Here is a 22,929-nt window from a genome sequence, read left to right as displayed (position 1 = left end):
GGAAAACTAAAACACAAACAGGTTAGCCCATTGTCAGAGTTGGCAAGTGGAAAGTGGGTTATGAACCCAGATCTACACTCCTAAATACTATTTTACATTGCTTCTCTTTAATTTAACATTTCTCCATCCAATATATATTTCACATATACAAAGTTTAAATTTAAATCTAAAAAATGTCTGAATTTGAAGAACATTTACTGCCCTATCATTTTGTTTATTTGTTCATTTAATTAGAGCCAGGGTCTCACTATGCTGCCCAGTCTGGAGTGAAGTGGTTATTCACAAGAATGATACTAGTGCCTGAAACTCATGGCCTCAAGTGATTCTCCTGCCTCAGCTTCCAGAGTAGCTGGTTCTACAGGCATTAACCACTGCGCCCAGCTCCATTGCCTTATCTTAAACAATAAAGCCACTCAGGCTGTATCTACAGACAACTATCATCTGCAAGGGAAACATGAACGAGTTGTGACCTGCCTTTTTGCCGTCGGTTCCACCTCCAATCAATCCCTAAATACAATGGCTTGTGAATGGATTGGGTTAAAGAGGAAGAATAAAACACATTCACATGAATAGACCTAACTATGACTTTAACCTGACAGATCTCAGAGAAATAAGAAACCCCTTTCATCTGTGGATCTTTTGTTACTGTTGTTGTCGTTATAGTGAAAAGAAAGAAAAAGACAAATTATATTCAATGAAAAAAGACAAATTATATTCAATGAAAAAAGACATACACATTCATTACACATGTTTGGAAACACAAGTCTTGACTGATCTTGCGGGCAGGAGCAAAACTAAGGAAATTGGCTTGGCTGTGTTAACAAAGTGTTTAGAGTGTGAATAGTCAGCTTAGTGCCTTGACACTATTGTGATCAGAGGGTAAAGTCAAATAGTAAAGTTAGTTAAGCTATTGGCAATCGATGATGAGCCACTTTAGCAGTGCCTTTTCCGGAACAATGCTAGATAATATGAGACAATGTATATACTAAAAGAATCACACTTTTTAGAATAATTACAGTATTTTACCTTACCAAAATGATGAAGAAGTCATCAAAGATGTCTAAACCAAACTCTGACAGTCAAACTAAGAATTTTGCATTTCTTACAGATGCATAAATAGCAGGAAGGACAGGAAAAGCCATCTCACCAAGGCTCTTTGCTTTTCAAAGGGAGCATTTTTATATTATTTATGCCACCTACATCTGAAGCATAATATATTAAATGGACAGAAGGGGAGGAGGAGACATTGATAGAAGAAGAGAGAAAGGATGAATGAACAAAAGAAGAAATGGAAGCCTTCTTCAATATTCATAGAAATACTCTGGGTTCTCAAATGAAGAGCTTACTCCAAAACAAATTTCAAAAGGGATGAAATAATTCATTGCTGTCTCCCCCAAGAAAAGTCTTTCCTTTGATTTACATCCTAGGAGCTTCCATACTCACAAGCTCTGCCCAGCAGCCTGGCACTCTGGCATTCACCTACCACAAAGAGTTCATTCAATGCATCTCTATACACCTGGCTCCATTTCTATATTTTATCTATTACCTTCTCTCTCACCCTCACTTTCATTCATCTTATAAAAAAAAAGAAAAAAAAGCTTGGGGAAACCCAAGCTTTTTCCTAGACTTTAATATATCAAAATGATATGCTAAACTTATTTTAATCTTTCCATTTTCATGCTGAATTAAACATATTAGGATTTTTAAATCTCTAATAAATTGTTACCTATTTGTCAAAAAATAATGAGCTTTGGTATTGAAGAGGATCAGGATATGCCACCCCATAATACACCACATTGGCATAAGAATTATTTTGAGCTGAATGCAATTGAGAATCAACAGATGCAAGAAGATGCCTCTTCTCTCCCCTTATCTACCTAAAAGGAGGGCATTAAATTTCTCCTCATGAAGGTGTCTCCGCCTTTACCAAAAAAAGAAGAAAAAAGACAGGGAGTTAATACCAAGATGAGTTTGCATTAAAAGACCTTTCCAAAAGAGCACTACCTTCTATTAGTTTCTCCATATTTTTCCTAGTCACTTCCCAACGATTTGTCATCCCTTAAAGAGCAAACCACCTTTCTTTTTTTTTTTTAAGGATATATAGGTCCCCAAATCTAGCTGCTTGTTTGACTTTTACTTCTTTTATGTGAACTCCCATCCCTGTAAATAATAATAAAAACTGTGCACCTTTTCTTCTATTAATCTGTATTTGTTTAATTTAATCCTCAGCCCCACCTCAAACACTGAACCAAAGGAGATGAAGGGAAAGCTTACTGTTTACTATGTCAAAGTTTTAATAATGTCAAGTGTGTTCAATCCCTATTTTAGGTGACTTTCCTAGAGTCCCCAAAATGTTTTTGATTACACATTTCTAGTGTTTCACAATTTACCTGAGGAAAAACATCTAATGTTTATGACCTCTGAGCAGAAGTACGGAATGAGGACAATTATTTCATAATTTCCAAACACCTTTTAACTCTCAACTTTTACCTCTCTGATAAGCCCACTGCACCAGAAATGAGGAAAAATTATTTTACAAAATCCACAAAAACATAGTACCTTTGACCCTGTGGCACTGCATTGGTTTAACTGTTTGTTGCAATTGTACTGAGGCAAGCTGCTAAATAAGAACAACTTTTCTTTAAGGCCTTCACATCTCCTTTCATTTGCCTTTCTGTCATTTTGTGTGATAAGCCTTTTTAAAGTCATCACACAGGGACCTCCACCCTCATAATGCACTCTAAGTGCTCCAATAAATACCTCATCACCACCAGTGCGGAATTTCACTTAGATTTTTTTACTCTTCTAAGAGCCTTAACTACCAAAATTATTGCTGCCCACTTATAAAAGAATGACATGATCTCAAAAGAGCTGCACAGTATTATAAGTACTCAATCCAATTGAAATTGTCACAAAACAATGGGAATAAATAATGATACTCATTCTCCTTTCCCCAGCTTCCCCAGAAGTATTTGTACTTGTCAATTCAGATAAATCTCAAGCTAGTATGTTTTCAGAATATGTGACAAAGTGAAAAAATTTCAGCAAGTTATGGCATGAGTCAAAAGTAATGAAGTAAATATAGAATGCTCCCTTAAGAAGTGTGTTAGAGAAATGAAGGCTGCAGCCTAAGGGAGAAGCTGGGTCAAACAAAGGATTACTATTTTCTTTGCTTGCTTTATTTATTGGGGTCTGAAGGTGAACAACTTGAACTTCTTCGCTGGCTGAAAGGAAACGACAAGTAGAGGAAGAAGGGTAGGAGTACAGCAGAGAGATTTGAAAATTGACAAATTGAGATCCTGGTGAAGAGATGGGATGGCTGGGTTGTGCAGAGGAAATAGGATAAAGGGCACAGATCAGCCTTGGAAAGGAATCAGGTAGGTAGAACTGTACATAAATTTGTAGAAAGGAGAGGGAAAATAACTGAGGTCCTTTGTCTTCTATGGTGCAAGAGTTTAAATAATTTGAATATATTGACATGATAGGGGTGGGAGGAAATAAGGTCCTGAACAAAGTGATGTTTTGAAACAGCAATCTTGAAGACTTGAAAAGAAAGATCGCTAAGGACAAAAAAAATTTCTAGAATTCTGGCACCATGGAAAATCTGATTGTAGAGACAGTGATACCACCAAAGGATCATACTAGCTCTCTAGCAATAGTCCCTAACCAAAATGGAACTCAAAAATGACAGATAAAAAATTCAAAGCATGGATTGTAAGGAAGCTCAACAATATCCAAGACAAGTTTGGAAATCAACACAAAGAAACTTCTAAGTCAATCCAGAAAATGAAGGAAGAGATAAACACTTTAAATAGAAATAAATCAGTTTCTTGAATTGAAGAGCTGCCTTAAAAATTTTCAAAATACAGCCGGGTGCAGTGGCTCACGTCTGTAATCCCAGAACTTTGGGAGGCCAAGGTGGGTCGATCACCTGAGGTCAGGAGTTCGAGACCAGCCTGGCCAACATGGTGAAACCCCGTCTCTACTAAAAATACAAAAATTAGCTGGGCGTGGTGGCAGGCGCCTGTAATCCCAGCTACTAAGGAGGCTGAGGCGGGAGAAATCGCTTGAACCCAGGAGGTGGAGGTTGCAGTGAGCCAAGGTCACGCCACTGCATTCCAGCCTGGGCAACAGTGCAAGACTCCATCTCAAAAAAAAAAAAAAAAAAGAAAGAAAGAAAAAAAAAAACAGTCTTTGAGGAATATGAAATTATGTAAAGTGAGTGACTAAACCTACAAATTATTGGCATTCCTGAGAAAGAAAGAGAAAAAGTAAACAATCTAGAAAACATACTTGAGAGAATAATCAAAGAAAATTTCACTAATCTTACTAGAGAGGTAAATATCCAGATACAAGAAATCTAGCACCTGCAATATACTATGTAAAATGACATCACCAAGGCATATAGTCACCAGACTGTCCAAGGTCAATGATAAAGAAAAAAATCTTAAAGGCAGCAAGGTAATAAGTCACACCACATACAAAGGGAACCCTGTCAAGCTAACAGCAGACTTCTCAGTAGCAACCTTACAAGCCTGGAGAGATTGTGGACCTATTTTCAGCTTTCTTAAAGAAAAGAAATTCCAACAAAGAATTTGATATTCTGTCAAACTAAGCTTCATAAGTGGGGAGATGAAACCTTGTACAGACATGCAAGTGCTAAGGGAATTTGTTACCCCTAGACCAGCCTTATGAAAGATCCTTAAGGGAATTCTAAACATGAAAATAAAAGAATAGCTGCTACCACAAAAACACACTTAAGTACATAGCCCACAGACTCTATAAAGCTACCACGCAATAGAATCTAAAAAGCAAGCAGCTAACAACTTCATGATTTGATCAAAGCTTCACATATTATTAACCCTGAATGTAAATAGTCTAAATGCCTCCATTTAAAAGGCACAGATTTGCAAGTCGGATATATAAACAAGACCCATCCTTCTGCTGTCTTCAAGAGATCCATCTCTCATATAATGACACCCATAGGCTAAAAGTAAAGGGTTATAGAGAGATCTATCATGCAAATGGAAAATAAAAAAAGACCAGGGGTTGCTATTCTTATATAAGATAAAACAGATTTTAAACCAATGATAGTAAACATGGACAAAGAAGGGCATTACATAATGATAACGAGTTCACTTCAACAAGAAGAATTAACTATCTTAAATATATATGCACCAACACTGGAGCACCCAGATTCATAAAACAACTACTTCTTGACCTACAAAAAGACTTAGACAGCCACACCATAATAGTTGCAGACTTCAAAACCCCACTGACAGTGTTAGACAGATTTCCAACATGAGAAACCAACAAAGAAATTCTGGACTTAAATTCAACATTTGGTCAATTGGACCTAACAGACATCTACAGAACATTCCACCCACCAATCAGAGAATATATATTTTTCTCATCTTTACATGGAACATATTCAAAGACTGACCACATGCTTAGCCAGAAAGCAAGTCTCAATAAATTCAAAAAACTGAAATCATACCAAACATACTCTCATATCACAGTAGAATAAAAATAGAAATCAATACCAAGAATGTCTCCCCAAACCACAAAATTACATGGAAATTAAATAACTTGCTCCTAAATGACTTTTGCATAAATAATGAAATTAAGGCAGAAATAAAAAATTCTTTGAAATAAATGAAAACAGAGATATGACATACCAAAATACCTGGGATGCAGCAGAAGCAGGGCTAAGAGAAAGTGAATAGAGCTAAATGCCTACGTAAAAAAGTTAGAAAGATCTCAAGTTCACAATGTAACATCACACTTAGAAAACTAGAAAAACAAGAACAAAGTGACCCAAAAGCAAGCAGAAGAAAAGAAATAACTTAATCAAAGTGGAACTGAACAAAACTAAGACCCAAGAATCCATATAAAGAATCAACAAAACCAAAAGTTGTTTTCTGAAATAAGATCATTAGACTGCTAGCTAGATTAACAAAAAAAGAGAGAAGATACAAATAAACACAATCAGAAACAACAAATGTGACATTACAATTGATCCTACCAAAATACAAAACATCCTCACAGACTATTGTAAACACCTTTATACACACAAACAGAAAATCTAGAGGAAATGGAAACATTCCTGGAAACACACAACCTCAAAAGATTGAATCAGGAAGAAATTAAAACCCTTAACAGATGAATATCAAGTTCTGAAATTGTATCAGTAACAAAAACCCCATGAACGAAAAAAGCCCCAGACGAGATAGATTCAGAGGTGAATTCTACCATACATGCAAAGAGCTGTTACCTAGTCTACTGAACTATTTCTAAAAATTGAACAGGAGGTACTCATTAACTCATTCCACAAAACCTGCCTCACCCTGATTCCAACATCTGGCAAAGAAGCAATGAAAAAATAAAACTACAGGCCAATATCCCTGATGAACATAGACGCAAAAATTCTCCACAAAATACTAGCAAACCGAATGCAGAAACACTTCAAAAGGCTAATTCAACATGATCAAGTAGGCTTTGGATGTAGGGTTGGTTTAACATATCCAAATCAATAAATATGATTCATCATATAAACAGAATTAAAAACATACCATATGATCATTTCAATAGATGCAAAAAGAAACTTTGATAAAATCCAACATTCCTTCGTGATAAAAATCCTCAACAAACTAGGCATCAAAGGAATCTGTCTCAAAATAAGCACCATCTAGGACAAATCCACAGCCAACATCATACTGAAAGGGCAAAAGCTGGAAGCATTCCCCTTGAGAAAAGGAACAAGACAAGGATGCCCGCTTTCACCACTCCCATTTAACATACTATTAGAAGTCCTTGCCAGAGAAACCAGGCAAGAGAAAGAAATAAAAGGCATCAAAATAGGAAGAGAGGAAGTAAAATTACCTCTCTTCACTGAGTATATGATTCTGTACTTAGAAAACACTAAAGACTCTGCCAAAGTCTTCTGGAACTGATAAATGACTTCAGTAAAGTTTCAGGATAAAAAATCAATGTATAAAAATCGGTAGCATTTCTATTCTCCAATGACATTCATTCTGAGAGCCAAATCAAGAATGAAATCTCACTTACAATAGCTACCAAAAAATAAAATACCTAAGACTACATCTAACCATGGAGATGAAAGAGCTCTACAAGGAGAACTACAAAACATTGCTGAAAGAAATCATAGATGATACAAACAAATGGAGAAGCATTCCATGCTCGAATTGAAAGAATCAATATCATTAAAATGACCACACTGCCAAAAGCAATCTACAGATTCAACGTTATTCCTAGCACACAACCAATGCCATTTTTCACAGAATGATTAAAAAAACACTCTATGATTCATATGGAATGAAAAAAAGAGCGGGAATAGCCAAAGCAATTCTAAGCAAAAAGAACAAAGCCAGAGGCATCACATTACCTGACTTCAAACTGTACAAGGCCACAGTAAACACAACAGCATGGTACTTGGTACAAAAACAGACACATAGACCAATGTAACAAAATAGAGAACCCAGAAGTAAAGCCTCACACCTACAACCATCTGATTTTTGACAAAAATAAGCAATGGGGAAAGGACTCATAATTTAATAAATGGTACTGGGATGGCTTGCTAATTGTATGCAGAAGAATGAAACTGGACCCCTACCTTTCACCGTATACAAAAATCAACTCCAGATGAATTAAAGATTTAAATATAAGAAATTAAACTCTAAGAATCCTAGAAGAGAACCCAGGAAACACTATTCTGAACATTGGCCTTGGCAAAAAATTTATGACTAAGTCCTCAAAAGCAATTGCAATGAAAACAAAAATTGACAAGTGAGACCTCATTAAACTAAAGAGCTTCTGCACAGCAAAAGAAACTATCAACAGAATAAACAGACAATCTACAGAATGCAAGAGGATAGTCACAAACTCTGCCTCTGACAAAGGTCTAATATCTAGAATCTATAAGGAACAATTCAATGAGCAAAAAACAAATAACTGCATTAAAAAGTGGGCAAACAACTGGAACAGACACTTCTCAAAAGAAGACATACAAGTGGCCATCAAACATACGAAAAAATGCTCAGCATCACTAATCAGCAGAGAAATGCAAATCAAAACCAAAGGGAAATACCATCTCACACCAGTCAGAATGATGATTATTAAAAAGTCAAAAAAAACAACAGATGCTGGCGAGGCTGCTGAAAAACGGGAATGCTTATACACTGTTGGTGGGAATGTAAATTAGTTCAGCCACTGTGGAAAGCAGTCTGGAGGCGTTTCAACGAACTGGAAACAGAACTACTCTTTGACCTAGCAATTGCATTACTGGGTTCATATCCAAAGGCACATACACTGATGATGTCTTTTGCAAGAACATAGACGCAGTTGGAGGCCATTATCCCAAGCAAATTAACACAGGAAGAGAAAACCACATGCAGCATGTTCTCACTTATAAGTTGGAGTTAAACAATGTGTACTCATGGACATAAATATTGCAAGAATAGATACTGGGGACTAATTGGGGGGGAATGAAGGAGCGGGTAAAGGGTTGAAAAACTAACTGTTGGATACTACATTCACTATCTGGGTGATGGGATGATTTGTAGCCCAATCCTCAGCATCATGCAATATACCCATGTAACAAACCTGCACATGTACCCTCTGGATCTAAAATAAAAGTTAAAATTACTTTAAAAATAAAAATAATAAACTAAAACAAAAAGCACTACAAGAAAACAAAAAAAAATCTGCTTCATGAGAAATGTCAAAATATGTAAATCAGTCAGAAACATTTATATTGCTTGGTTGGGTTAACCTTATTCATTCCCAAAGTTCAGCAAATACAGATATATTGATAAGGAGGTAGGGACAACCTTCAGAGGGCAGGCAGCTGAGGCTGAATCCCATGCCCTTTTCACAAGAATGAACTATGACCTCTCTGACCATTTGTGTTTTATCCAGGATGACACTGAAGAGTATACCTGTGTGAGCCCCAAGATAATTAATTTTATATGTCAACTTGGTTAGACTACAGCGTCCAGTTGTTTTAACAAACACTAGTCTAGATATTGCTGTAATTGTATTTTAATATGTGATTAACCTCTAATATCAGTAGACTTTGAGTAAAGTTGGCTACCTTTAATAATGTTCACAGTCCTCATTGAGTCAGTTGAAAATCTTAAGAGCAAAAACTGAAGCTTACTGAAGAAAGAACACTAACTCCAGACTGAAACACAAAATATGCCTGTCTCAAAAATATGCCTCTGTCCAGAATGGTGTTTCCTAAGTCCTCTTATGGGATTCTTATAGTTTAAAGACTTACATTTAAATCTTTAATTCATCTTAAGTCAATTTTTGTATATGGTGAAAAGTAGGGGTGCAGTTTCGTTCTTCTACATGTTAACTAGCCAGCCATCCCACACCATTTATTAAATAATCAATCCTTTCCCAATTACCTTTAGACTCAATACCACATCAACTCTTACCTAAATCTCCAGCTTCTCCTATGGATTTTAGACTTGCCAGCCCCCACAATTGTGTGATCCAATTTATTAATTTATTTTTCTTTTCTTTTCTTTTTCTTTCTTTCTTTCTTTTCTTTTCTTTTTCTTTTTTTTTTTTTTTTCGAGACAGGGTCTTTGTTATCCAGGCTGGAGAGCAGTCGTGCTATCATGGCTCACTGCAGCCTTAGGCTCCTGTGCTCAAGCGATCCTCTCACCTCAGCTTCCTGAGTAGCTGAGACTACAGGTGCATAGCACCATGCCCAGCTAATTAAAAAAAAAATTTGTAGAGACAAGGTCCCACCTTGTTGCCCAGGCTGGTCTCAAACAACTGGGCTCAAGTGATCCTCCTGCCCCAGCCTTCCAAAGTGCTGAGATTATAGGCGTGAGCCACCACACCTAACCCAATTTCTTAAAATAAATTTTTCTCTCTCTCTAGATTAAAAAAAAAAAAGGAAAAAGAAAAAGATTGCTAACCAATACTGTCAGCTGAAGAAAGGTGAAACAATACATATTTAGTGATGTCAGATTGTTTTACAATGTAATCATCACAAGCAACTCAAGGACCGGACAAATTGAGAGGAGAGGCAAAAAAAAAAAAAAAAAAGGATGATTGGACTGACCTAGGTATGCATATGCATAGGAGAGTAGGAGAGGTAAGGGAAATAAGAAGACACAGGGTTTGAGTGCCAATAGGAGTATTCATACTTGGCAGAGAAGTATGTGATATTTAAAGTGGCTGAAAAGGTTGGTTAATGGACATAAAAGTACATCTAGACATGAGGAATAAATTCTACTGGTCTATAGTACCACAAGCTGACTGGAATTAATGACATTTTATTGTTTATTTTCAAATAGCAGGAAAGAGCAGATGTGGAATGTTTCCAACACAAAGAAATAATAAATGTTTGAAGTAACTGATATGCTAATTACACAGATTTTATCATCATACATTGTATGCATGTATAGAAATATCACACTGTATCCCATAAATATGTACAATTGTTATGTATCAATTAAAAGTAATAACAAAGGCAAAAATAATGAAATGCTGAGAAAAAGTGGTGAATAAGGTAGAACAAAGAAAGGCAAGCATTAGTATTCTCAGTGAGGATAACGGTTGCTTAGAGGGAGAGGTAGAAAACTTGAGAAAAGAAGTTATGGTTTAAAATTTTACATTTGGAGTAGTCTTTTGAATCAGTTAAATCTTGTTTCATATTTTTTAATGTTTTATTTTTAATTGACATACTAATTTTACATATTTATGGGATACAAAGTGATGTTTTGATACAGGTATACATTGTGTAACCAACAAAATACAGTATGTAGCATATGCATCACTGAGGACTTTTTTATTTTAATTTTTAATTTTCTTGGAAACATACTAGGTGTACATATTTATGGAGTACATGAGATGTTTTGATACAGGCATTGAAAGCATAATAATCACATCATGGTAAATGCAGTATCCATCCCCTCAAGCATTTATCATTTGTGTTACAAATATTCCCATTATACTATTTTAGTTGTTTGAAAATGTACAATTAAATTATTATTGACTATAGACCCTCTGTTTTGCAATCAAATATTAAATGTTATTCTTTCTAATGAATTTTTGTACCCATTAATCATCTTCGCTTTCCTCTACCCCCCCCACTACCCTCCCCAGGCTCTACTAAATATTGTTCTACTCTCTATCTCCATGAGTTCAGTTATTTTAACTTTTAGATCCACAAATAAGTGACAACATGCAATGTTTGTTTTCCTGTGCCTGGCTTATTTCATTTATTTCACTTAATAATGACCTTCAGTTCCATATATATTGTTGCAAATGACAAGATGTCACTCTTTTTTATGGCTGAATAGTACTCCATTGTGTATAAGTACCACATTTTCTTCATTCATCTGTTAATAGACACTTACATTGCCTCCAAATCTTGGCTGTTGTGAATGGTGCTGCAATAAACTTGGGAGTGCAGGTATGTCTTTGATACACTAATTTCCTTTCTTTTGGGTATATACCCAGCAGTAGGATTGCTGCATTGTAAGTTAGCTCTATTTTTAGTTTTTTGAGGAACTTCCAAACTGTTCTCTCAGTGGCTGTACTAATTTACATTCCCACCAACAGTGAACAAGGGCTCCCTTTTATCAACATCCTCGCCAGCATTTGTTATTGCCTGTCTTTAGAATAAAAGCCATTTTACCTGGGAGGAGATGAAAATTTGGTGTTCCTGTGAGGGGGATGATTGGTGGATGCTTCTCTTCATCCATCTTACTCCACCCTCTCTGCTACAAACATTTATAATTTTTGTGTGGTAAGAACATTCATAATCCTCCCTTCTGGCTATTTTGAAATATAAAATACAATATTGTATACTGTAGTAACCCTACTGCATGATAGAACACCAAAACTTATTCCTCCTCTTTAACTATAATTTTGTACCTGTTCACCAATCTTTCCCTATTCCCCTTCTCCCTCCACTACCCAGTCTACAATAGTCACTTTTCTACTCTCTGATTATTGAAATCAATTTTCTTAGATTCCACATATGAGTAGGATCATGCAGTATTTGGCTTTTTGTGCCTGGCTTATTTCACCTAACATAATGTCTTTAAAGTCCATCCATGTTGCCATGAACGACAATATTTCATTCTTTTTATGACTGAGTAGTATTCCATTGTGTGTGTATGTGACATTTTCTTTATTCATTCATTTGTTGATGGACACATAGGTTGATTCCATATTTTGACTATTATAAATAGTGCTGCAAGAAACACGGGAGTGCAGATAGCTCTTTTGTTTTGTTTTGTTTTGTTTTGAGACAAGGTCTCATTTCGTCACACAGGCTGGAGTGCAGAGGTGCAAACATGGCTCACCGCAGCCTTGACATCCCAGCCCAAGCAATCCCCCCACCTTAGCCCCACAAGTAGCCAGCATTACAGTTGCACACCGCCATGTCTGGCTATGTTTTTTGTAGAGGTGGGGTTTCACCATGTTGCCCAGTCTGGTTTCAAACTCCTGAACTCAGGTGATCCACCTGCCTCAGCCTCCCAAAGTGCTGGGATTACAGTTGTGAGCCACCAAACTTGGCTGCGTACATCTCTTTGACATACTGATTTCATTTCCTTTGCATATATGCATATATGATTGTTGGATCAAATGGTAGTTCTCTTTTTAATATTTTGAGGAACCCATATACAGATTTCCTGATAGCTACACTAATTTACATACCCACCAACAGTGTATTAAGTCTTCTCTTTTCTCTACACATTAACTAGCATTTGTTATCTTTTGTCATTTTGATAATAACCATTCTAATTGAGGTGAGGTGATAACTCACTGTGGGTTTGATTGGCAATTCCCTGATGGTTAGTGATACTGAGCATTTTTTCATATATCTGTTGCCGCTTTGCATGTTTTCTTTTAAGAAACGTCTTTTGCCCATTTTTAAATCAAATTTATTTTTGCTATTAAGTTGTTTGAGTTTCTTATATATTCTGGTATTAACCACTTGTTAGACACATAATTTGCAAATGTTTTCTCTCATTCTGCATATTGTTTCTTCACTCTGTTGACTTTTTCCATTGCTGTATAGAAGCTTTTTAACTTGATGTATTTTCATTTGCCTATTTTTGCTTTTGTCACCTTTTTAAGGTCTTATCCAAAATATTATTGCTCAGTCCAACGTCAAGAAACATTTCCCCGATTTTTTCCTTTAGCAGATTTATAGTTTCAGTTTTTAGTCCATTTTGAGTTAATTTTTGTATATAGTGAGAAACGTACAATATTTGGTTTACAATTCCTGAGTTATTTCACTTGGAATAACAGTCTTCAATCTCATCCAGGTCACTGTAAATGCTATTAATTCATTTTTATGGCTGAATAGTATTCCACTATATATATATATATACACATATATATACATATATACATATATATACATATATATACATATATACATATATACATATATATACATATATATACATATATACATATATACATATATATACATATATATACATATATACATATATACATATATATACATATATATATACATATATACATATATATACATATATACACATATATACACATATATACATATACATATATATATATATATACCACATTCATTTTATCTTCTCATTGATTGATGGGCATTCGGGTTGGTTCCACGATTTTGCAATTGTGAATTGTGCTGTTATAAACATGCATGTGCAAGTTACCTTTTTCAAATAATGACTTCTTTTCCTCTGGGTAGATATCCAGTAGTAGCATTGCTGGATCAAATGGTAGTTCTACTTTTAGTTCTTTAAGGAATCTCCACACTGTTTTCCATAGTGGCTCTGCTAGCTTAAATTCCCAACAGCAATGGAAAAGTGGTCCCTGTTCACCTCATCCATGCCAACATCTACTGTTTTTTGATTTTTTGATTATGGTAATTCTTGCAGGAGTAAAGTGGTATCACATTGTGGTTTTGATTTGCATTTCCCTGATCATTACTGATGTTGAGCATTTTTTCAAATGTTTGTTTGCCATTTGTATACCTTCATTTGACAATTGTCTACTAATATCCTTAGCCCACTTTTTGATGAGATTGTTTTTTTCTTACTGATGTGTTTCAGTTCGTTGTAGATTCTGGATATTAGTCCTTTGTCAGATATACAGATTGTGAAGATTTTCTCCCCGTCTGTGAGTTGTCTCTTTACTCTGCTGACTGTTCCTTTCACTGTGCAAAAGCTCTTTAGTTTAATTAGGTCCCAATATTTCTCTTTGTTTTTATTGTATTTGCTTTTGGGTTCTTGGTCATGAAATCCTTGCCTAAGCCAATGTCTATAAGGGTTTTTTCCAATGTTGTCTTCTAGAATTTTTAGAGTTTCAGGTCTTAGGTTTAAGTCCTTAATCCATCTTGAATTTATTTTTGTATAAGGTGAGAGATGAGGATCCAGTTTCATTCTTATACATGTGGCTAGCCAATTATCCCAGCACCATTTTTTGAATAGGGTGTCCTTTCCCCACTTTATGTTTTTGTTTGCTTTGTGGAAATTCGGTTGGCTGTAAGTATTTGAGTTTACTTCTGGGTTCTGTTCCATTGTTCTATGTGACTATTTTTATACCAGTACTATGCTGTTTTTGTGACTATGGCCTTAGAGTATAATTTGAAATCAAATAGTGTGATGCCTCCAGATTTGTTCTTTTTGCTTAGTCTTACTTTGGCTATGTGGACTCTTTTTTAGTTTCATATGAATTTTAGAATTTTTTTTCTAATTCTGTGAAGAATGATGGTGGTATTTTGATGGAGATTGCATTGAATTTGTAGATTGCTTTTGGCAGTATGGTCATTTTCACAATATTGATTCTACCCATCCATGAGCATGGAATGTGTTTCCATTTGTTTGCATCATCTATGATTTCTTTTAGCAGTGTTTTATAGTTTTCCTCGTAAAGGTCCTTCAACTCCTTTGTTAGGTATATTCCTAAGTATTTTTTTTTTTTTTTTGCAGCTATCGTAAAATGGGTTGAGTTCTTTATTTGATTCTCTACTTGGTCACTGTTGGTGTATAGAAGAGTTACTAATTTGTGTACATTAATCTTGTATCTGGAAACTGGTGAATTCTTTTATTAGTTCTAGGAGCTTTCTGGAGGAGTCCTTAGGGTTTTCAAGGGAAACGATCATATCATCAGCACACAGTGACAGTTTCACTTCTTCTTTACCGATTTGGATGCCCTTCATTTTTTTCTCTTGTCTGATTGCTCTTGCTAGGACTTCCATTACTATGTTGAAGAGGAGTGCTGAGAATGGGCATCCTGTCTTGTTCCAGTTCTCAGAGGGAATGCTTTCAACTTTTCCTCATTCAGTATTATGTTGGCTGTGAGTTTGTCATAGATGGCTTTTATTACATTGAGGTATGTCCCTTGTATGCCGATTTTGCTGAGGGTTTTGATCATAAAGGGATGCTCCATTTTGTTGAATGCTTTTTCAACACCTATTGACATTATCATGTGATTTTTGTTTTTAATTCTCTTTATGTGGTGTATCACATTTATTGACTTGTACATGTTAAACCATCCCTGCATCCCTGGTATGAAACCCACTTGATCATGGTAGATTATCTTTTTGATATGATGTTGGATTCAGTTAGATAGTATTTGGTTAAGGATTTTAGCATCTACATTCATTAAGGATATCAGTCTATAGTTTTGTTTTTTGGTTATGTACTTAACTGGTTTTGGTGATGCTGGCTTCATAGAATGAGTTAGGGAGTGTTCCTTCTTTCTCTGTCTTGTGGAATAGTGTCAAAAGGATTGCTTCCAATTCTTCTTTGAATGTCTGGTAGAACTCTGCTGTGAATCTGTCTGGTCCTGGATTTTTTTTGTTGGTAATTTTTAAATTACCGTTTCCAACTCACTGCTTGTTATTGGACTGTTCAGGGTATGTAATTATTCCTGATACAAGCTAGGAGGCTTGTATTTTTCCAGGAATTTATCCATTTCTTCTAGGTTTTCTAGTTTATGTGCATAAAGGTGTTCACAGTAGCCTTGAATGATCTTTTGTATTTCAGTGGTGTCAGTTGTAATATCTCCTGTTTTGTTTCTTAGTGAAGTTATTTGGATTTTCTGTCTTCTTTTCTTGGTTAATTTTGCCAGTGGTCTATAAATTTTATTTATCTTTTCAAAGAGCCAGCTTTTTGTTTCATTTATCATTTATGGTTTTTTTTTGTTTCAATTTCATTTAGTTCTGCTCTGATCTTTGTTATTTCCTTTCTTCTGCTGGGTTTGGGTTTGGTCTGTTCTTGTTTCTCTGGTTCCTTGAGGTGTGACCTTAGATTGCTTGTTTGTGCTCTTTCAGACTTTTTGATGTAGTCATTTAGGGCTATGAACTTTCCTCTTAGCACCGCCTTTGCTGTATCCCAGAGGTTTTGAGAGGTTGTGTCATTATTGTCATTTAGTTCAAATAATTTTTTAATTTCCATCTTGATTTTGTTTTTGACCCAATGCTCATTCAGGGGCATGTTACTTAATTTCTGTGTATTTGCATGGTTTTAAAGGTTCCTTTTGGAGTTTATTTCACTTTTATTCCACTGTGGTCTGAGAGAGTGCTTGATAAAATTTCAATTTTCTTAAATTTATTGAGGCTTGTTTTATGGCCTATCGTGGAGAAAGTTCCATGTTCTGTTGAATAGAATGTGTACTCTGTGGCTGTTGGATGAAATATTCTGTACGTATCTGTTAAGTCCCCTTGTTACAAGGTATACTTTAAATCCATTGTTTCTTTGTTTTCTTTCTGTCTTGATGACCTGTCAAGTGCTGTCAGTGGAGTATTGAAGTCTCCCACTATTATTGTGTTGCTGCCTATCTCATTTCTTAGGTCTGTTACTAATTAATTTATAAATTTGGGAGCTCAAGTGTTAGGTCCATATGTGTTTAGGATTGTGATATTTTCCTGTTGGACAAAGCCTTTTATGATTATATAATGTCCCTTTTTTTTCTCTTTTAACCTCTGTTGCTTTACAGTTTTTTTGTCTGATATAAGAATAGCTATCCCTGCTCACTTTTGCTTTCCATTTGCATGAAATGCCTTTTTCCACCCCTTTACTTTAAGTTTATGTGAGTGCTTATGTGTTACGTGAGTCCCCTGAAGGCAGCAGATGGTTGGTGAGTTCTTATCCATTCTGTGGTTCTGTATCTTTTAAGTGGAACATTTAGGTCATTTACATTCAATGTTAGTATTGAAATGTGAGGTACTCTTGCATTCATCATGCTGTTTGTTGCCTGTGTACTTTCATTTTGTTTTTTTGTTTTTGTTTTTTAACTTGTACTTTTGTTTTATAGTGTGATATATGCATTAAAGAGGTTCTATTTTGATGTGTTTCCAGGATTTCATTCAAGATTTAGAGCTCCTTCTAGCAGTTCTTGTAGTGGTGGCTTGGTAATGGCAAATTCTCTCAGCATTTGTTTGTCTTAAAAAGACTGTATCTTTCCTTCATATCTGATGCTTAGTTTCACCGGATACAATATTCTTGGCTGACAATTGTGTTGTTTGATGAGGCTGAAGATAGGGTCCCAATCCCTTCTAGCTTGTTTGATTTCTGCTGAGAAATCTGCTGTTAATCTGATAGGTCTTCCTTTATAGGTTACCTGGTACTTCTGTCTCATAGCTTTTAAGAGTCTTTCCCTCATCTTAACTTTGGATAACCTGATGACAACGTGCCTAGGTGAAGATCTTTTTGTGATGAATTTCCCAGGTGTTCTTTGTGCTTCTTGTATTTGGATGTCTAGGTCTCTAGCAAGACTGGAGAAGTTTTCCTCAATTATTCCCCCAAATATGTTTTCCAAGCTTTTAGAATTCTCTTCTTCCTCAGGAATACCAACTATTCTTAGGTTTGGGTAATCCCAGACTTCTTGGAGGCTTTGTTCATATTTTCTTTTTCTTTTTTCTTTGTCTTTGTTTGATTGGGCTAATTTGAAGACCTTGTCTTCAAGCTCTGAATTTCTTTCTTCTACTTGTTCAGTTCTATTGCTGAGACTTTCCAGATAATTTCCAATTTCTAAAAGTGTGTCCAATGTTTCCTGAGTTTGATTGTTTTTTCTTTAAGCTATCTGTTTCCCTGAATATTTCTCCCTTCACTTCTTGTATCATTATTTAGATTTCCTTGCATTGGGCTTCACCTTTCTCTGGTGCCTCCCTGATTAGCTTAATAACTAACCTTCTGACTTTTTTTTTTTTTTTTTTTTTTCAGGTAAATCACGGATTTCTTCTTGGTTTGGATCCATTGCTGGTGAACTACTGTGATTTTTGGGGGGTGTTGAAGAGCTTCGTTTTGTCATATTATTAGTGTTGGTTTTCTGGCTCCTTCTCATTTGAATAGGCTCTGTCAGAGCGAAGGTCTAGGGCTGAAGGCTGTTGTTGTGATTCTTTTGTCCCTCAGGGTGTTCCCTTGATGTAGTACTCTCCCTCTTTTCCTATGGATGTGGCTTCTTGTGAGCTGAACTGCAGTGATTGTTGTCTCTCTTCTGGGTCTAGCCACCCAGCGAGTCTACCTGATACTGGGGGCTGCCTGCATAGAGTCCTGTGATGTGAACCATCTATGGGTCTGTCAGCCATAGATACCTTGCCTTTCTGGTGGAGGTGGCAGAGGGCTACAATGGACTCCATGAGGTTCCTTAGCTTTGGTGGTTTAATGCTCTATTTTGTGCTGGTTGGCCTTCTGCCAGGAGGTGGCCCTTTCCAGAAAGCATCAGCTGTAGTGTGAAGAGGGACTGGTGGTGGGTGGGGCCCTAGAACTCCCAAGATTTTATGCCCGTTGTTTTCTGCTACCAAGTTGGATAGGGAAGGACCATCAGGTAGGGGCGGGACTAGTTGTGTCTAAGCTCAGACTCTCTTTGGGTGGGTCTTGCTGTGGCTGGTGTGGGGGATGGAGGTGAGATTCCCAGGTCACTGGAGTTGTGTACCTACGAGGATTATGCCTGCCTCTGCTAAGTCATGCAGGTTGTCGGAGGGAAGTGGGGGAAACACAGCAGTCAAGGCCTCACCCAGCTTCCATACAAACCGAAGGGCTGGTCTCACTCCCACTGTGCCCCCTGCAACAACCCTGAGTCTGTTTCCAGGCAGAGAGTGAGACAGGCTTGAAAATTTCCTGGAGGTTATCTGCCTCCCAGCTGCAAAAGAAAAGGACTTTGGTTCTTCCCCTGCCTGTGAAGTCTGCACACCTGATTAATGCCCTTCCCCCAAGTTCTGGCCAGGCTTCTTGCCCCATTTAAATTGTTACAAATTTCAGCTAGAGAATTACTTCTGCCTGCGGAGTTTTATCCCCTGCTCCTCTGGCCACCCTCCAGATGGATCCCTGTGGTGCCAGGCAGGAATGGGCTGCTTGGAAACCTAGTGAGATTCCAGGGCCTTTCTGCTGCATCCTCTACCCCTGTATTTCTCTCAGCTCTATAACTTGACTCAACTTCAGATAAAGTCAGAAACTGCTCCTGCAAACAGACCGTAAGTTTCTCCAGTGGGGGTGTGTGTTCAGGAGAGGAGGGTCTCCTTTTCCCACTTCCTCAGCTGGGGCACTCACGGTATTTGGGGTGTCCCCTGGGTCCTACAGGAGCAGTCTGCTTCTTTCAGAGGGTCTGTGGGTCTTCTCAGGATTGCTGGTTTGTTCTTGCAGTCGATCTGGAGCTAAAATTCACAAGGCAAGCCCCCGCATGCTGCTCTGTCAGGAGCTGCAATCTAGTCCCGCCTCCCATCCGCCATGATCTTCTTCATCTCCAAACATTTGTCTTCTAGTTACTGGATCCATATACTATTACACAGACTGTTAGCGAAAAATTGAAAAGTAGAAAAGGATTCTCACCTTTTCATCTTTATATCTTTGCTCATGATGTGTCAAATTCATAAAAACCCCACTCTCATTTTTCAGATTGAATACTATGTATCCTTCAACTTCCAGGGTCAATGAAATCATCACAAAGATCTCCTGACCAATAGGTATGCATTCCTCTTCCTCTGTAGTTCCATGCATGTGCTTTGATGTCTCTTATACTTTCTAATTAAAGTACTATGATATTTTGTAGAGATGCCTTATTCTTCCTACTAGATTTTAAACATTTTTGATAAATAAAACATACAAAGAGACCTCAAAAAGTTCATTAAAATTTGAATTACAAGATAAAAATAAAATAACTTTATTTCTGAGCATAAGCTCCATTAAGTTCAAGACACTCTTGTGATGATGCCAGGCATTTAAGTTCATCCCTAAAGACATAAAAAAATTCAAAAGATCAACAAATCCAGGAGTTGGATTTTTGAAAAAAATAATAAAATAGATAGCCAAGTAGCTAGACTAATAAAGAAAAGAGAAATGATCCAAATAAAAACAATTAGAAATAACAAAAGAAATATTACCACTGATCCCACAGAAATACAAACAATCATCAGAGAATATTATGAATACCTCTATGTACACAAACTAGAAAATCTAGAAGAAATGGATAAATCCTGGGACACATACAGCATCCCAATGCTGAACCATGAAGAAATTGAATCCCTGAAAAGACTAATAATGAGCTCCAAAATTGGGCCAGCAATAAATAGACTACCAACCAAAATAAGCCCAGGACAAGTCAGATTCACACATGAATTCTACCTGATGTACAAAGAAGAGCTGACACTGTTCCCACTGATACTATTCCAAAAAGATTGAGGAGGAGGGAATCCACCCCAACTCATTCTATGTGGCCAGCATCATCCTAATACAAAAAACTACCAGAGACACAACAAATAAAGAAAACTTTAGGCCAATATCCTTGATGAACGTTGATGCAAAAGACCTAAAGAAAATACTAGCAAAATAAATCGAGCAGCATGTTAAAAAGCTAATCCACTGTGATCAAGGAGGCTTTATCCCTGGGATGCAAGGTTGGTTGAACATATGCAAATTCATAAATGTGATTCATCACATTAACAGAACTAAAAACAAAAACCACATAATTATCTTAATGGATGCAGAAATGGCATTCAATAAATGCCCTCCATGTTAAAAACTCTAAATAAACTAGGTATTGAAGGAACATACCTTGAAATAATAAGAGCCACCTATGACAAACCCAGAGCCAACATCATACTAAATAGGCAAAAAGCTGGAAGCATTCCCCTTTAAAACTGGCATAAGACAAGGATGCGTCTCTCACCACTCCTATTCAATATAGTATTGGAAATCCTGGCCAGAGCAATCAGGCAAGAGAAAGAAATAAATCACATCCAAATAAGAAGAGAGGAAGTCAATCTATCTTTGTTTACAGAAGACATAATTCTATAGCTAGAAAACTCCATAGTTTAGTTCCAAAAGCTTCTTCAGTTGATAAACAACTTCAGTAAAGTGTCAAGATACAAAATTAACATGCAAAAATCACTAACAACCTTATACGCCAACAATAGTCAAGTTGAGAGCCAAATCAGGAATGCAGTCCCACTCACAATTGCCACACACACACACACACACACACACACACACAAACCCCTAGAAATATAGCTAATCAGGGAGGTGAAAAATCTCTACAATGAGAATTACAAAACACTGCTCAAAGAAATCAGAGATGACACAAACAAATGGAAGAACATTTCATGTTCATGGATAGGAAAAATCAATATCATTCAAATGGCCATACTGACCAAAGCAATTTATAGATTCAATACTATTCCTATCAAACTACTAAAAGCATTCTTCACATAACTAGAAAGAAAAACTATTTTAAAAATCAAATGGAACCAGAAAACAGCCAGAAGAGCCAAGGAAATCCTAAGCAAAAGGAACAAGGCTGAAGGCATTATTCTACCTGACTATACCACAAGACTACAGTAATCAAAACAGCATGGTACTGGTACAAAACCAGACACATGTGCCAATGGTACAAAATACAGAACCCAGAAATAAGGTACACAGCTACAACCATCTGATCTTCAACAAACCTGACAAAAACACACAATGGGGAACGAACTCCCTATTCAATAAATGGTGCTGGGATAATTGGCTAGCCATATACAAAAAATTGAAGCTACACCTGTTTCTTAGAAAACACACAAAAATCAACTCAAGATGGATTAAAGACTTAAATGTAAAACCCAAAACCATAAAAACCCTAGAAGACAGCCTAGGCAATACCATTCTGGACATAGAAATGAGCAAAGATTTTATGACAAAGACAACAAACGGAATCACAACAAAAGTAAAACCTAACAAATGGGATCTAATTAAAGAGCTTCTGTGCCACAAAAGAAACTATCAACAGAGTAAGCAGACAACTTACAGAATGGGAGAAAATATTTGCGAACTATGCATCTGACAAATGTCTAATATCCAGTATCTATAAGGAGCTTACACAAATTTACAAGAAAATAACAAACCACTCCATGAAAAAGTGGGCAAAGGACATGAACAGACACTTTCTGAAAGGAGACATATGTGTAGCAAAGAAGCATATGACAAAAAACACACCACTGAGCATTAGATAAATGCAAATCCAAACCACTATGAGATACCCTCTCTTACCTGTCAGAATGGCTACTACTAAAAAGTCCAAAAATAACAGATGCTAGTGAGGCTGTGGAGAAGAGGGAACACTTATACACTGTTGATGGGAGTGTAAATCAGTTCAACCATTGTGGAAAGAAGTGTGACAGTTCCTCAAAGAGCTAAAAACAGAATGACCATTTGATCAGGCAATCCTTTTACTGAGTATAAACCCAAAGGAATATAAGTCATTCTTCCATAAAGGCACATGCACGTGTATGTTCATTGCGGCACTATTCCTAATAGCAAAGACCTGGAATCAAGCTAAATGCCCATCAATGATAGACTGGATAAAGAAAATGTGGTACATATGCACCATGGAATACTATGCAGTCATAAAAAGGAACAAAATCATATCCTTTGCAGGAACATGGATGAAGGTGCA

General features: G+C 36.5%; 1 long non-coding RNA gene across 1 annotated transcript in view, besides 1 other annotated feature; it reads right to left on the bottom strand.

The window, feature by feature from the left end:
- LOC101928437 (uncharacterized) overlaps positions 1-22,929 on the bottom strand; it is a 477,888-nt gene that overhangs the window by 413,330 nt on the left and 41,629 nt on the right. The window lies entirely within an intron of this gene.
- Positions 18,990-19,490: an enhancer, noted in NCBI's record as "H3K27ac hESC enhancer chrX:112331023-112331523 (GRCh37/hg19 assembly coordinates)". NCBI's record gives its function as "activates a minimal SCP1, AML or CMV promoter by ChIP-STARR-seq in naive H9 embryonic stem cells {active_cell/tissue: H9 hESC(naive)}" and the evidence as "EXISTENCE:reporter gene assay evidence [ECO:0000049][PMID:30033119]".

Source organism: Homo sapiens, chromosome X (assembly GCF_000001405.40).
Source record: "Homo sapiens chromosome X, GRCh38.p14 Primary Assembly".
Taxonomy (NCBI): domain Eukaryota; kingdom Metazoa; phylum Chordata; class Mammalia; order Primates; family Hominidae; genus Homo; species Homo sapiens.
This window is presented reverse-complemented; position numbering and strand designations above follow the sequence as displayed.